This window comes from Homo sapiens, chromosome 13 (assembly GCF_000001405.40).
Source record: "Homo sapiens chromosome 13, GRCh38.p14 Primary Assembly".
In the NCBI taxonomy this organism is placed as follows: Eukaryota; Metazoa; Chordata; class Mammalia; order Primates; family Hominidae; genus Homo; species Homo sapiens.
In genome coordinates this window covers 42,522,003-42,537,269 of record NC_000013.11, presented here as the reverse complement: position 1 = coordinate 42,537,269, position 15,267 = coordinate 42,522,003, and the positions used below count along the sequence as shown (strand labels likewise).

Here is a 15,267-nt window from a genome sequence, read left to right as displayed (position 1 = left end):
CCAAGAAAACAAAGTAATAAAAGTGATTTCTCTGACAGCAACACTCGAGGCTTAAATAAAACCCACCAAGCTTTCAAGAACTCACATTCCAAGATTAAGTAGGTGTAGATAGGAAGAATCCACTGGGAATTCCAGGCTTTGGAAGAACCTGCTCCCTCTCCAGCACCTGGAGGAGCCAGACTTCCCATATTAGCTCTGTAGGGGTCTAGTTAGAGAATACTAACCAGCACCCACAGTTTTTTGTTTGTTTTTTTTTTGGGAAAAAGAGATTCAGAAAGATGCAGAGTCTTACCCCTCAAAAGCTAGAACAATGCCAGAAGTAGGCTAAGGGAAAATACACATTTGCAGTTGTCTTCAGTGTCCTGGCAAAGTAATAAATCCACTCATGGGGGCTGATCCCAGTTCTGCTTCTGATCTTGCTCCTGTTTCTGCTGCTTCTCCAACCCTAATTTCCCTTGCTATTCAAGCCTGATCTGTGCTATCCACTCCCTGGACTCGATTTTTGTGTAAAGAGCCTCCATGTCCTGTCAGGGCCTCCATCTGATAGCAAGCCCATGGCCTCACTTCTGCCAATAAATCTGTCCACCCTCGCTACTGCCTCCCTGACTTTTTTGGCCAACATCCTACCTTATCTCAGCTCCAGCCCACTGTGACTTGACCCACTGATACCACAGCAAAAACACTGCCCTTCTCCCAGCCCTTCATAGTGGGATGGCAGTTCCCACACTGTCCATGGTACAGGAAATAAGATCATGGACACAAATCTCATCTATCACCTAATACCCCATGACCAGGGCTTTCAGAACCACCAACTGAGGCCTTAGGGTCCCAGCCCTGGTTTCTTTCTACAAGTACCTGAGTCAAGTGTGATGGGACTCAGCAGTGCTCAGCTATTTCCTAGCAAGGGCTGAAGTGTATATGGACCTGCAGAGAGGGCACCTGTTTCCTTAATACCGGGTAAGCTTTTATATGAAACTGCTGCCAAACGGGCACATGCCTATGTGCTCTGAACCAGTAAGAGTAGGAAACAGCAGAAAACACCAGGTCAGAAAACACTAAGACAAAGGTTATGGGACAATCTGGAAAATCCAGAGAAATTTACTAGGTTATACTTCACAAACCACACACAGTCTGGACAATAAAAATCCAGCCACATGGTGGTACTTGCAGTGGACTAAAGAATACTTGAGATGCAGACGTCTCAGAGGCCTTCAGTGACCACTGGAAACCAATGTTTTCAATGACTGATTGACTACTCCTTCAAGACTTCAAACTATCAAGTTCAGGAACTATTCACTGCTTGGATATCTCATGGTCCTACTCTGAGTTTGAATGCTGGGCCATCCTGCAGGACTGCTGGGCCCACCTGCACCAGAACTGTCCTTGTGAAAGTATCACTTGGACCATCTTTACCCAAGAAATGCTGTGATTAGGAGAGGATGAAGGCTTCCTGCATCATCCTTATGATCATACCATCAGCCTAGTCATAGGTTCACCTATACCTTCTCCCTGTTCTCTTATCCAGAGAGTATAACCTTTGGGTACTTGAGAAAAAAAAATGTACAACTATGGCATTTTTAAGGAGCCTGAGCCACCCTGGCTCAAAATTGGTAATGAGAGAGATTCTATGTAGTCCTGTATCAGAAAATGACCCATCTCATTGCAGATGACAAGAGACCCAACCCAAAAAGCTGATGTGGTTTGCCTGTGTCCCCACCCAAGTCTCACCTTGAATTGTAATAATCCCCATGTGTCAAGGTCAGGGTCAGGTGGAGATAATTGAATCATGGGGTGGTTTCCTCCATACTTTTCTCGTGGTAGTGAATAAGTGTCACAAGATCTGATGGTGTTATAAATGGAAGTTCCCCTGCACAAGCTGTCTTGCCTGACACCATGTAAGACATGACTTTGCTCCTCATTCAACTTCCACCATGATTGTTAGACCTCCCCAGCCATGTGGAAATGTGAGTCAATAAACCTTTTTGCTTTATAAATTACCCAGTCTCAGGTATGTCTTTATTAGCAGCGTGAGAACAGACTAATACAGGTGCTTAAATGAAAACGGAATTTATTGAACCACATAATGGCAAAGACTAAGGATAGTACTTGATGGCTTCAGGTTCAGCTGAACTCAGGGGCCAAACAATGCCATTCAGGTTTAGTTTTTCTCTCTCCCTCCATTTCACAAGGCTATCTTTCTCTGTGTTGACTTTAGAAAGAGTACACATGGTAATAAGATAGTGGCAGCAGATTCAGCCCTTACATCTTTTTGGGTTTTGGGTCCAGCCAAAGATATTGAGTCCACTTTCCCATCTACTCAAACAGTCATTCTGGAATTCAGTGTCATTGGCCCCTGGTTGGCCTTATTTGGGTACTGTGCCCATCCCTGAACCAATCCCAGGGGCTGGGGGATGGAATGCAATGATTGGCTTAGTCCAGCTTCACCCTGGACCCTAGGGAAAAGTCGGCTTCTCTGGAACCACATGTAGAATAGTGAGGGAGGAGTGGGTCTAATAGAATCAGAGCGCTATAATCACTAGAAGAGAGAGTGGGTGCTGGGTGGGGAAAACAGCAAAAGTCAACCCAAGATTTGCAGGGCCTCCTTAGAAACAGGCCTTGTTTCTGCCACAGTTGCTTCTGTGTTCCCACTCTAGCCTTAGCTCCAGTGTGCCTCATTCTCTTATCAGATCTTAACTCTTGTTTCTGAGCAACCCACAATCCATCTGATGCTGCTGGCCCTGCCAGTGGGTCTGCCTTGGGCAGTCTCTGCCTATTGAACCCCAGTTCCACTGAAACCTTACTGAGCCCATGTGCCAAGTCCAGCTGAAGCCTGCTATATGGTGTCTCCAACCTGATCTTCCTGACTCCACCTGCTACTGGTCATATGGAAAGTAGGCCGAACCTGATATTTCTGTGACTCGGTCCACGAGAGACAAATCTGCAAGCATGCTAACCAAACAGATACCTGGCTTTGGATAATGGAAGATATTTCTTTAGGGCTGCTGCACCCCAGGGGAAGAAGGAAGATAATCAGGTGACAGCTACAAGAAAACACCATTCCATTTAACTAAAGCTCTTTCCAACAACAGTTGACTGCAAGCCTGTTTATAGTGTGTAAACACCTGACATTTACATGTGTGTGCACATGTACACATGCATGCGATGTATATGGGAGCATGGAAGAGGGCTTGGGGAAAAAGTGCTTCCTGCAACCCTTTTTTCCAGTTCCATATGAATAATTAAGCCCTCCAGTGTAATCTCCTGCCACCTCTAAAGATAAAGTGTCAGGTGGTTCTGAGTTTGTTTTGCTGGGATCTGACTTAGCTCTAGTGTGTCCGTCACAGTCCCTGAGTGGCTACTCTAGTGTACTTCTCTGGTGTTTAAGTGATATACCATGATATACTGGTGACTTGAATAGAGCTAATGCCTTGCAATGGAAGCCTGGCTTAAGCCAGGAGAAAATCTAAGTAATGGCGGAGGAACTTTTGTCTGATGCAAAAAGGAGGCTTTTATTACACATCCTTATACAGAGCCCCAGAACTCATGAATTCACACCAAAAAGTGTATGAGGACATATGGCATAATCAGTGCCACTTACGGCCTAGAGCTGAAGTACAGAAGAAGAAAAAAGAATTAGAAATGAGAATAGCAAAGTCTAGGGGCACAGCATGGTACGAGAAGGGGAGAGCCAGAAAATTGTTTGTTTTAAGCAAAAGTGTTATCCTTTTGAAATTATTTCCTATATTTATCTTCTAAGAACAGAATCCACACTAAATAACCATAAATCCAACTGAGTTCTGAGAAATAATACATTCTCAGACTTGTCTGAGGTAGGGTTTGCATGGCTGTATGTTTTTCTTGGTTTTATTTGCATGAGAAAAAAAAGAATAGAAAAAAAAGGCTTACCAAGCGCAGCTGTAAGACTTTAGTTTCAACAAGCTATTAAAATTACTTCTCAGTTCAAAGGGTGGATTTTTATTTTTCATATGCATATCTTTTACAAAAAGGTAGCCTCATAATTTTCTTTTATATTTAAATTATTTTGTAGATTTTCAGTCTTTCATTTTGTATAAGCATGAGTAAAGGGGAAAGAAAGCCAAGGGTTTTTTTTTCATTCCTTAAAGAAAAACTACTAAATGTATCACTTCAGACGTGATTCTTTAGGTAGACTGGCTGCAGTAAAGATGGCTTTCAAATAACAGCTAACCATTTTTCTGTCTAATTTTTTTATTTGTTTACATTCCTCATCCAATAAATGATTTAAATCATTTTCCACTTCCTCTTTTACTATCCATTATTGTTTGCTCTGAGTAAGAAAGTTGTTTGTCACAAGGATGTAATACTGTCAAACATTTTAATCCACTTTATTTATTAAAGTAGAATTACACATTGTTGAATGGAATGCCATACGTGGAAAGTATTGACTTGACCCCTCACATGTCTAACTTTGGGGGCAATGAGTGTCCTCTGAAGTGGAAGAGTGATCTTCCATGGGGAAGTGAAAGTTCGTGTTTCATTTGAAGACTTGTTTGCTGATAACTTGCTTCCCAAGAGCATAAAATTGGCTAGAAAGCAAAACTAGTTGCAACACAATATTTGGAGAAAATTTTGAACTGTAACAAATTTCCCCACTCTAATCGCAATAATTTGTAGAACAAAAACTGTGGTCTATGAAGAGTCTATCTGAAAAAAATTGGGGTATTTAAAAAAACTTCTGTTGATTAATGGATACAAATACAGAGGTAAATAGAAGAAATAAGACTTGGTATTTGAATAGATCCATAGAGTGACTATAGTTAACATTAAGCTATCACACATTTCAGAATAGCTAGAAGAGAACAATTAAAATGCTCCTAGCATAAAGAAAAGATAAATATTTAAGTTGATGGATATCCCAATTACCCTGATTTGATTATATGAATGTGTCAATTTATCACATGTATCCTGAAAATATGTACACCTATTACATATATATAAAAATATAGATAAATAAGTAAATAAAAATAACTCCTCATCACTCTCTGCCAAGTGTCATGGAGCCGAGTTTAGACCCATAAACATTGCATGACATTTTAATGAGTTGATATCCCGCTTTCCAATCCAATGCGTGAGATGATTGAAATCAAAGGAAAGCCTTTGCTCCTTTGGATTCTTGTATGGAAATCAACAATACCGTGACCTCTTGGCTGTTTGAACCTTCAGGAAAAAGAATGACAGGACATATGTTCAAAACAAAAAACTTCCAGTGATTATGCAGGATATCTAAGTGCCTGCCAGTTTTGAGTTTTCCAAGTTTTATCCTGTAAGCCTAGTTCAAGGGTTTCAATCATCATTTAGCAGACTTGTCAAGGGTGGTATTGGCAATGATAGATTTTGCCTCTGCATACTTTGTAATGAAAAGCAGCTTGATCTCAATGTAAGGATTTGTGTTCATTTTCAACAATCATTATTATATTTTATAAAATAAAGCTCTTTGATTTTCATTTCTAGTATTTTAACAGATTAATTCAATGCATTTGTCTCCCTCTAAATAACATGCTATGGTAGGAAGCATATTGACTTTAGAAGAAGAGGGAGATGGGTTGAAACATGGTGTCATCATGTGAGAGCTGGGAGAAGAGTAGACAAGTTATTAACCAGCTATCCCCCAACACTAGATGTTTCTCTTCTACATGATGAGAGAAAGTCACTTGACTCAGATTGTTGAAGGTTAAAATGAGGTGATACATGAAAATTATCTATTAATTTTTGGCACATAACAGCTACTTGATGAATACTATTTCTCTTCTCAATTATTTTTTGGTTCCAATGAGTCCTGTGCCCGTAAATTAGACAGCTGTGCACTTAGGTTTTGTCTGCAAGTGCCCACCAGTCTTTGAGAGTCCTCCCAAGACCAGATGACCACACATGTTAGTGCATCTGCAATGGGACTCCTCTTACCACTCATATACACTCACTTGTTCAGTGGGCACCTGCTGAGCATCTACTTACTAAGGTGAAGAACCCCCAGGGCCAGCACTCAAAGAGTCAATTACCTCCTTAGGAAGATGGGTCAGAAAACCAACAATTACCCCACAGAGTCATACGTTCTCTCTAGAAGCTTTATCCAGATTTTTTCTAGATCTGCCCACATTTGAAGGAAGAGAAAAAGAGCTCCTAATGACGGTGGAGGGGAGAGAGAGGTCCAAGAATACTTCAGCTCAATCTAGACCTACCAGAAATGTTAGCTAGGCAAGAGGGAAACAGGAAGAGACATAAGAAAGAGTGTTCTGGGTGGAAGAAGAGATTGTCTGTTTTTTTGTAACAGGAAATTCAACACACACAGTGTCTATAATAGTCTTGTACTTAGATTGACCATAGATAAAGATGAAGGAGCTATTTGAGCATCTGTTGTGGCCAAGGTAGTCTGCTAAAAGGATGGAAAGATGGAATTAGTTCTTTCAGGACCTTCAGGAAGCCTGTAAGCTAGCTGGAAGAGTGAGAAACACACATGTGGCAAATAACCATGTAAGGTTGGAATTGCCAGCGCTATCCAGGATTGGTAAGTGCTGCACAGTGATTTATTAAATTTATATTACAGAATGAATGCCCCCCAACAAGGCCAAAGGGATTGAATGTCAAAGTGTTAAAGCCACAGCTTTCTAACTCCATTCTCTGAGTTAAAGTTAGAGTAGATGCAAAAGAACTATTCCTACTCCAAAAAGATGTTTTCGAGTTGAGCACTTGAAAGTGAATGAATTTCAATTCATCTCACATTTTAAAATACTAGAAAAGTTGCAAGAATGAAGATTTTAAAAACAAGCAACGGAGAAGAAAGCAATTAACCTAAGTATCTTTTTAAAAATATTTTGACTGGAGTCTGTTAAGCTAAATATGAAAAGAACTGCACACAAACACTACAGTCTAGCTGGTAAATTTTTTCCCCACAGTGAGGAGGTTTCACAATTCTGAAACAATTTTGTAAGCATAATAGGGATGAGCTAATAAGCAAACATACTATAGATAATGAGAGCCAGGCTTCTCAAAATTGGAGACAAAAATTTGAAATAAATAAAAAGAAGTTTAAAATGAACCTTGTGGTGTGGGATTGAAGTTGGAAAAATCAGTGTGAGCTGATTTTTAAAATACATATATATGCATAGATAGATGCAGATATATATATACACATATATAATGTGTGTGAGGGGGATTGGGTTAGTAAACATACATATATCTCGAGTTTTGTCTGCTGGGAGGGCCTGAAAGCGTGACACTCCATTAGCAATGAGCTCATCTGATGCTCAGATCTTGGTTTCTAAATGCTATTCCCCAATAAAAAGAAACAGGGTGCTCCTTGGAAAAGTGGTTGATTTCAGGGCTGGGACAGGGAAAATATAAAATGAGCAGTACTCAAAAAAAAAAAAAAAGGCACGGAGAGAGGGGGGACGTGGACATTTTGAAAGGGCACAGAAACCTACCTGAAAGAACTCCCAATGGCCAAATGCAAAACAGAGCCACAGAATGATGATAGCATTAGATCATAACCCAAAGGATAACATAAATATCCTTGAGTCTGTAAGTCTATACTGATATAAATAATAACTGAATAAATAAAAGGCAGAGAAGAAATAACTTTTCTTTACAGACTCCCACTAGTAAATGTAGAAGGAGCAAGGAAACTAGAAAGTCCCCACAATTACAGCACAGTGGAAATTGGTGAGGGCAAGATTTGTTAACGGATGATAAAATTAGTGAGCAAATGTTTAAGGTTATTTGTATAGTCTCAAAGCATATCTTCCAAAATATACACATAGTAATTTTAAAGGGAGAGATGGAAATTTTACATTGGAAAAACCTTTAGCCAGGTGATCAAGGTTAACATGATCAGTAACAAGGCAAGTGAACATCAGGTACCTCTGGTGATGCACTGAGAAAGATACACGTCCCTGTGATACCTCCCCAATAATACATGACTTCAATCTAATCACGAGAAAATTCCAGGCCGGGTGCGGTGGCTCATGCCTGTCATCCCAGCACTTTGGGAGGCCGAGGCGGGCAGATCACAAGGTCAGGAGATCGAGACCATCCTGGTTAACAGGGTGAAACCCTGTCTCTACTAAAACTACAAAAAATTAGCTGTGTGTGGTGGCGAGCCCCTGTAGTCCCAGTTACTCGGGAGGTTGAGGCAGGAGAATGGCATGAACCCGGGAGGCAGAGCTGGCAGTGAGCCGAGATCACGCCACTGCACTCCAGCCTGTGTGACAGAGCGAGATTCTGTCTCAAAAAAAAAAGAAAGAAAGAAAGAAAGAAAATTCCAAACAAACCCAAACTGAGGAACGTTTTACCAAACAGCAGTAGTCTTCAGGAGTGCGAAGGCTCTGAAAGACAAGGAAAGTCTGAGAAACTATCACAGATTGAGGGAAACTAAGGAGATAGACAACTAAATGCAAAGGGGGATCCTGGGACAGAAAAAAAGAGAAGACCTTTGGTGGAAAATCTGGTAAAATATGAATAAAGTCTATAGTTTAGTTAAATGTATTGAATCAGTATTAATTTCTTAATACTGATCAATTTACTAGTATGTATGATGTTAACATTATGGAAAACTGCATGAAGGGTATATGGAAACTCTGTTCTGATTTTGCAACTCTTCTGTAATTCTAAAATTATCTCAAAATCAAAAGTTTTAAAAATAAAACCGAAAGAAATTAAGCAGCATGTCTCTTCTTGCTACAAATGGATTTGAGATCCTTCAGGGATTATATGTGTTTCCTGTTGCTGCTGTAACAAATTACCAGAAACTTAGTGGCCTATCACAACACAAACTTGTTACCTTATGGTTTTGTAGGTCAGATTTGAGATATGTCTCACTGGACTACAGACAACGTGTCATCAGGACTGCGTTCCTTTCTGGAAACTCCATGGAAGGATTTTCTTGGCTTTTTTTCAGTTTCTAGGAACTGCCTGCACTTCTTGGCTCTTGACTCCTTCCTTCAAAGCCGGCCATGGTCGGTCACACTGCCATCTCTCTGATCTGCCTCCCTGGTCACATTCCCCTCTCCGACTATAACCAGGAAAGGTTTTCCTTTTTTTTTTTTTTTTTTTTGGAGAGGAGTTTCGCTCCTGTTACCCAGGCTGGAGTGCAATGGCACGATCTCGGCTCACTGCAACCTCCGCCTCCCAGGTTCAAGTGATTCTCCTGCCTCAGCCTCCCAAGTAGCTGGAACTATAGGTGTGCGCCACCACACCCAGCTAATTTTGTATTTTTAGTAGAGACAGGGTTTCTCCATGTTGGTCCAGCTGGTCTCAAACTCCTGAACTCAGGTTATCCGCCCGCCTCAGCCTCCCAAAGTGCTGGGATTACAGGCATGAGCCAGCGTGCCCAGCTGGGTTTTCCTTTTTTAAGGACACAGGTGATTAGATTGAGCCCACCTGAATAAGCCCATCTCAAAGTCTTTAACTGAATCCCATCTGCAAAGTTCCTTTTGCCACATAATGAAACTCAGTCACAGGCCTAGAGGATTAGGACATTTGTGAGGTGGGAGCCATTATTCTGCCTACCACAGAAACATGTCAGGGAAGAGGAGAAGCCAGCACCAGAGAACCCTCAAAAAGTAGGTGAGACAAATTTCCATAGCATCCTGCAGTGTCTATCACATAAGAAGTTCTTCATTAATTAATGACTGCTGATTTATACTGAAAACGAAATTACCCCACCGTTGCCACTAGTCCTTCAGTCAATGTACGACTGCCTCCTGGGTGGTTCATGTCTATCCAAATGGCGTTCCTCTTTCCACTATGAAGGCCCCACCTTTTTAGGATCTGTATCTTCAGACCTCCCCATTCTCAAGCAGGGCTGGGTCTGGGTGTCCTAGGAGTACCAGTAGTCATCCTGTCCTATGACATATCTGCTTCAGTGTCCCCCAAGCACAGGGTAAGTATTTAATGAATGATTGTTACAGTGAACCCTCAGGCAGGAGTTGCCTTCTGCTGTGTGTGCAGTGGGCCTATACATTCTTGCTTCAGATCTGTTTTGACCTGTTAAGAATGGAAACCCGTTTTCACTCTGCCTCCAAAAGAAGTGTGTGAGAGGGAATGGGAAGCGGTTCTATCCATAATTTTGATGTGACAGAGCAGATAACGTTTTTATCATGGTCTTTGATGCAAACAGGGAGAGTCAGGCTGAAAACACAATTTTCATGGATGATTTAAATGTTTACAAATCTTAGCACTTTGAAGCATCTTATGCAATGCATGTACCCTCGAATTATTCTCAGAGATTTATGTGAATAAATGCATATTTTATTCATGGGTCCTTCACAGGCTCTGTTAATAGTTTTTAGACCCATTTGGTAAAGCAGCTAAACTTGGGCTGCACATTGGCACCACCAGAGGTGCTTTTAAAAAATGCTGATATCTGCACTTGCCCTCAAAAATTCTCATTTAATTATTCTGTTAAAGTTTCAGATATTTGTATATTTCAGATCTCCAAATGATTCTAACATAAGACCAGGAAAGAAAACCACTATGCTAAAGAAATCACGTGTGTTTCTTCATATTAAAGCTGAAATGTGCCTTGCTGGATGGGGCGAGGTAGCCACCCTTAGGTGAAAATATGCGTCTATTTCTTATGAGCAAGTAACACCCACACTTTAATCTTTCTCTGCTAAGGTCTAACCAGCAGTCTATTCACTCCTGCTCCAAATTTTTTACTCACTCCTCTCCCAGTTGTTCCTGCCCCCACCCTGCCTCTTTCTCTTTGATCTGTTGCTGAACCAGGACTAATTCTCCATCTAATGCCCTGCAGCAACCTTCACAAAGCCCCATTTGCCACTCTCCTGACCCTGCTGCTTTCTTTCATCCTCGTGTCACACATCCTCACTCCTCACAATCCTTTGCTATTTCTAAACACAAATGATGGGAAGAATCGGGGGGGCAAGGAATTCAGGTGATATACTGTGACTGCCAGAAAAACATGCTTCTCAGATCTGCAACTACAGCAAGCACATGGATTGCTGGCCCCGAGTGCTACGCTCTGAAACCCGCCATTGCCTTAGCACAAGGCCAGCTCCTCACGCCCCCACATCACCCTACTCGGTTGCTCCCCATCAATAGCTAAGACAACGGCAGGATCCTAAGTCTGGCCCGTCCCTGGGAGCCTCAAGCTTCTCTGACTGATCACTTTGACTCAAGGCTCCCCATCAGCCTTGCCAGGCTTACCTACAACTGCACTCAAGTTAGGACTCCTCATCCACCCCTTATTCCTTCACTCTCTCCCTCCCAAAGTTCAGACCAACAGCTGGCACTATCAGCTGTCACAGCCCTTCCTAGCTTCCTCTCTATTTTCCCTCCCAGGCATCTTGTTGGTAAATTTCTTGCACATCTAATTCCAACTTGGTGTCTGCTTCTTGGAAAATCCTAAGTAGCACCTTACTACAGGAGGAAGCTATAAGAATAATTGAATTTTACTCTAAAAGAAGATGACTATTTTAACCATTTATTTAATAATCATAAGCTAGTATGTATATATACATATGCATGGATATCCTCTCATTTAAAAAAAAAAAGATATATTCAACAGAAACCAGGTGTCTTCAGAGGCTCCCTGATTAAATAAACCTTTTTTTTGTTTTTTTCAAAACTGGCTACTCTTTGGGTCACCCAGAAAACTTTTTAAAGATGTCGATCCCCCTCTTGAGATTCTGATGCAATTAGTCTGGAGTAAGCCTGGAAATTGGCATTTAAATACCTCCCTAGATGACTCCAGTGTGCAGTAAGGTTTGAGAACCCTACCCTATAGGTACACATAGGGACAGGCCACAATTTACAATACCTACAAGATGTCAACTGCCCAGCTGCTCAGGAGAAATGTGGTTAATCATCATCCTGAGGGGAGAGGAAAATTTCTTCAGCAGATCATCATAAAGGAAACACTGTGGAATGTCATCAACCACATCCTTGACAACATCCCTGCAGTAAACACAGAAATAAGCTTCATAGAATTGCTTCCTATGACATTCCTCAGTGTCGCCAGGTTCTTTCCATGTGCTACCACAGTGCAAGCAAGTTCTGTTCCCGTACAAATTTGCAGAGGAATTTTCCACTTTGGTCAGTGGTATCTCTTCCTGAGCAGGCTTCATGCTGTGTCTGGGGGTAAAGTCTGTGGTTGGACACCAGGGGTACCAGAGAACATCTACTTTTACCTATTTCCTATATTGGAATTCTGCAGAAAGGTGTGTTTGACCAAAAGAGTCTACTGCTAAGGAGTGTTTGAAAATCACTCTCCAGTCAGCAGGAAGAAAGTAACCCTCTCATTCTTTAATGATTCTAGTTTCATCCTGATTGAACTCACAACAGACCATGACTTCAGAGTCTCAGAAATAATTAACTTCACTATGAGATGATCAATGAAGATGAACTTCAGACCATGACTCGATACCCAAGCACACAGTACACAACTGGCCAGGAGTGACATCAGTGCTGAGATGGATCCCCTCCAGCTGACACCAGGCCACATCAGACCAGAGAAACAAATTCCTCCCATATGGCCAGAAAGTTTTATGGCAGTAACACTAAGACTGACAAAGTCACTGTTTCATAGTTAATTATTTTCATTTCCTCATAGCCATGGAGAGAAACTATCTAAAACCTTGAATTTGAGGAAATGAGTTCGTGAAAATCTAGCTCTCCTGGGACATGATACTATAACTCATCAGAAGGGCCAACCCATTGACATTCTTGACTCTAGGCTCTAATCAGGCTACCCACCATCTTCAAGAGGCGTACCCTAGTAAACCTGCCAGCTTGGACACAAAACACACCTTCAGCAGTTGGCTGTGCCTGACCCACACCAAGGCTGCATGCTGAACTTCTGGATTCCTTTCCCTGAGCTTCCCGTCCCAGCATTCTTGCAACCAACCTGGAATGGCAGGGTTGAGTTTTCTCCATCAGTTATGATGTTCTAACCTCCTTGTTTGTTGAGCTGCAGTTCACAGCAACTTCAGTGAAATGGATTAGAAATGTTTTAATGTTCTACTACCTATGGATTAATATATGTTTCAAGGACATTGTTTTTTAACTGATGGAGAGTGCATGCTCTCGGTATTACAGATCAACTATGGTAGTGATGTTGAATAACTTAAGTAGGAGCTGAATTGAAAACTGTAAAAACAAATAGCAATAGTGGAATATAATTTCCAAAATGAGTCTTTATGCTAATCCAGATGAGTGAACAACATTGTTCAAAGAAGCAGAGTTCAGGGACACCCAGTAGAGGAGAGCAAAAGAAGAGAAAAATTATAACTGCTGATCAATTTGGATTATTGTTATTATATCACCGCTATTCTTGACTTTAAACAGACATACATAGAAAACTCTTATGTGGTACTAGAGTTTTATTTTTTAATTTATAACTTGAAATGCACATTCACCTACAAACTCCATTTCATTTTCTTCAACAAATTACTGTTCTCCAAGAATGGTGGAATAGAAAGAGCCATTGTTACTCTCCTTACAAGAAGAAAGGGAGCCCCCTATGACTGGTAGCATTTTGGAGGCAAGCCATCCTCACCTGCCCTGCCAGTTTATCAATCCCTAACTTCTGCTAAAGGCTAAAGTGTGGAGATAATTAATCTATCAGATTCTTTCTGGAAAAAAAATCTTGATAATGCAGGTATATTTTAAAAATCCATGAGCATATGAGAAAAATAAAGCTACTAAAGTAGGATAAATGTGGAGAATGGCTAGAAGATCAACATCTCCACCATCTTGATTTTGCTCCATTTATCAGCATCTCCACCATCTTGGTTTTATTCCATTTTGCCAACATCTCCACCATCTTGGTTTTGCTCCACCTCAGCCTTAGCTACAGACCTGATCCCAGCAGAGCATGGATGAGCCAAAGGGCTCAGCACTGAGATTCCTTTGGAGTGTTAATACTGTTCAGTTTCTGTTCGTTCTTTTCTTCTGCTTGCCACCATTCTGGGTCCCCATGCTGCTGCCTCAGTGTGGTCACATCAGGGCAGCTTGGGAAGCAGTCACATGAGACAGGTTCTCCCCGTGGAGTTCATTCAAGGCTTGTGGAAGGCTTACTGGTTACCAAAATAAAATCTGTTCTCTTTTCATTTCAAAGCCTGTTCAGTTCTTCATGTGCCTAATGACATGAGTGGAACTGAAAACCTGACAATTTGCTAAATTCTTCACTTCTCTTAAAATCTGCAAAACCTTTACTGAGACAATGCAAAGACAGCTGTTGAGATCTTTTTTCCATCCTGAGTGAAAGGCAGGACGAGGAAGTTTAAAATGAAGGACTCCAGTAGTGCCAACCAGGCTGAGAGGAAATGAGCATAAAGCCAGCCTGTGGAAAATGTCAGTAAATCAGGTCTGGAAATTGGCTTTCTTTTTTCTTCCCTTAAGGCAGAGAAAGTGAAGGAAGGAGTGAGAGGTTTTATCAAATTGGACTTTACTTCATTATTCTCACTAAATCACGAATTCCCCACTCCAGGGTAACCTCACCCGGGGTGATGCTTTTTTAAATGAGGTGTCTTTCTCAGACATGTCTAGTCACAATTCACTGGTGACTGCACAAGAAGGTTAAAAATGGGAGATTCTGCTGTTAAAGATTTGAGGTAGGCCTGGGGTATTCTTAAATTTATTGAATCTTTTCTATTGTGTGTCTGTGTCTGTGAATGTGTAGTCAGTGGCATTTTAAAAAATAATTTTTTAAAGATCTTTTAAGAGCATTTTTGTCATGTCTATAAATTTAAAAAAAAATGTGATTACTGTGGAAAATGTATCAAAAGGAAATATTCAGAAATATGCACAAAAGTTTAGTGACAAAGAGGTTTATCATTGCATTTTTTTACATATACTTTAAGTTCTGGGATACACATGCAGAACATGCAGGTTTGTTACATAGGTATACACGTGTCATAGTGGTTTGCTGCACCCATCAACTCGTCATCTACATTAGGTATTTCTCCTAACGCTATCCCTCCCCTAGCCGCCCACCCTATGACAGGCTGCAGTGTGTGATGTTCCGCTCCCTGTGTCCATATATTCTCATTATTCAACTCCCACTTACAAGTGAGAACATGTAGTGTTTGGTTTTCTGTTCTTGTGTTAGTTTGCTGAGAATGATGGTTTCTACCTTCATCCATATCCCTGCAAAGAACATGAACTCCCTTTTCTATGGCTGCATAGCATTCCACGGTGTATATGTGCTAATTTTCTTTATTCAGTCTATCATTCATGAGCATTTGGGTTGGTTCCAAGTCTTTGCTACTGTGA

General features: G+C 41.1%; 1 annotated feature.

Moving 5' to 3' along the window:
• Nucleotides 12,678-12,797: an enhancer, noted in NCBI's record as "active region_7651". NCBI's record gives its function as "activates an Ori minimal core promoter by ATAC-STARR-seq in GM12878 lymphoblastoid cells {active_cell/tissue: GM12878}" and the evidence as "EXISTENCE:reporter gene assay evidence [ECO:0000049][PMID:35858748]".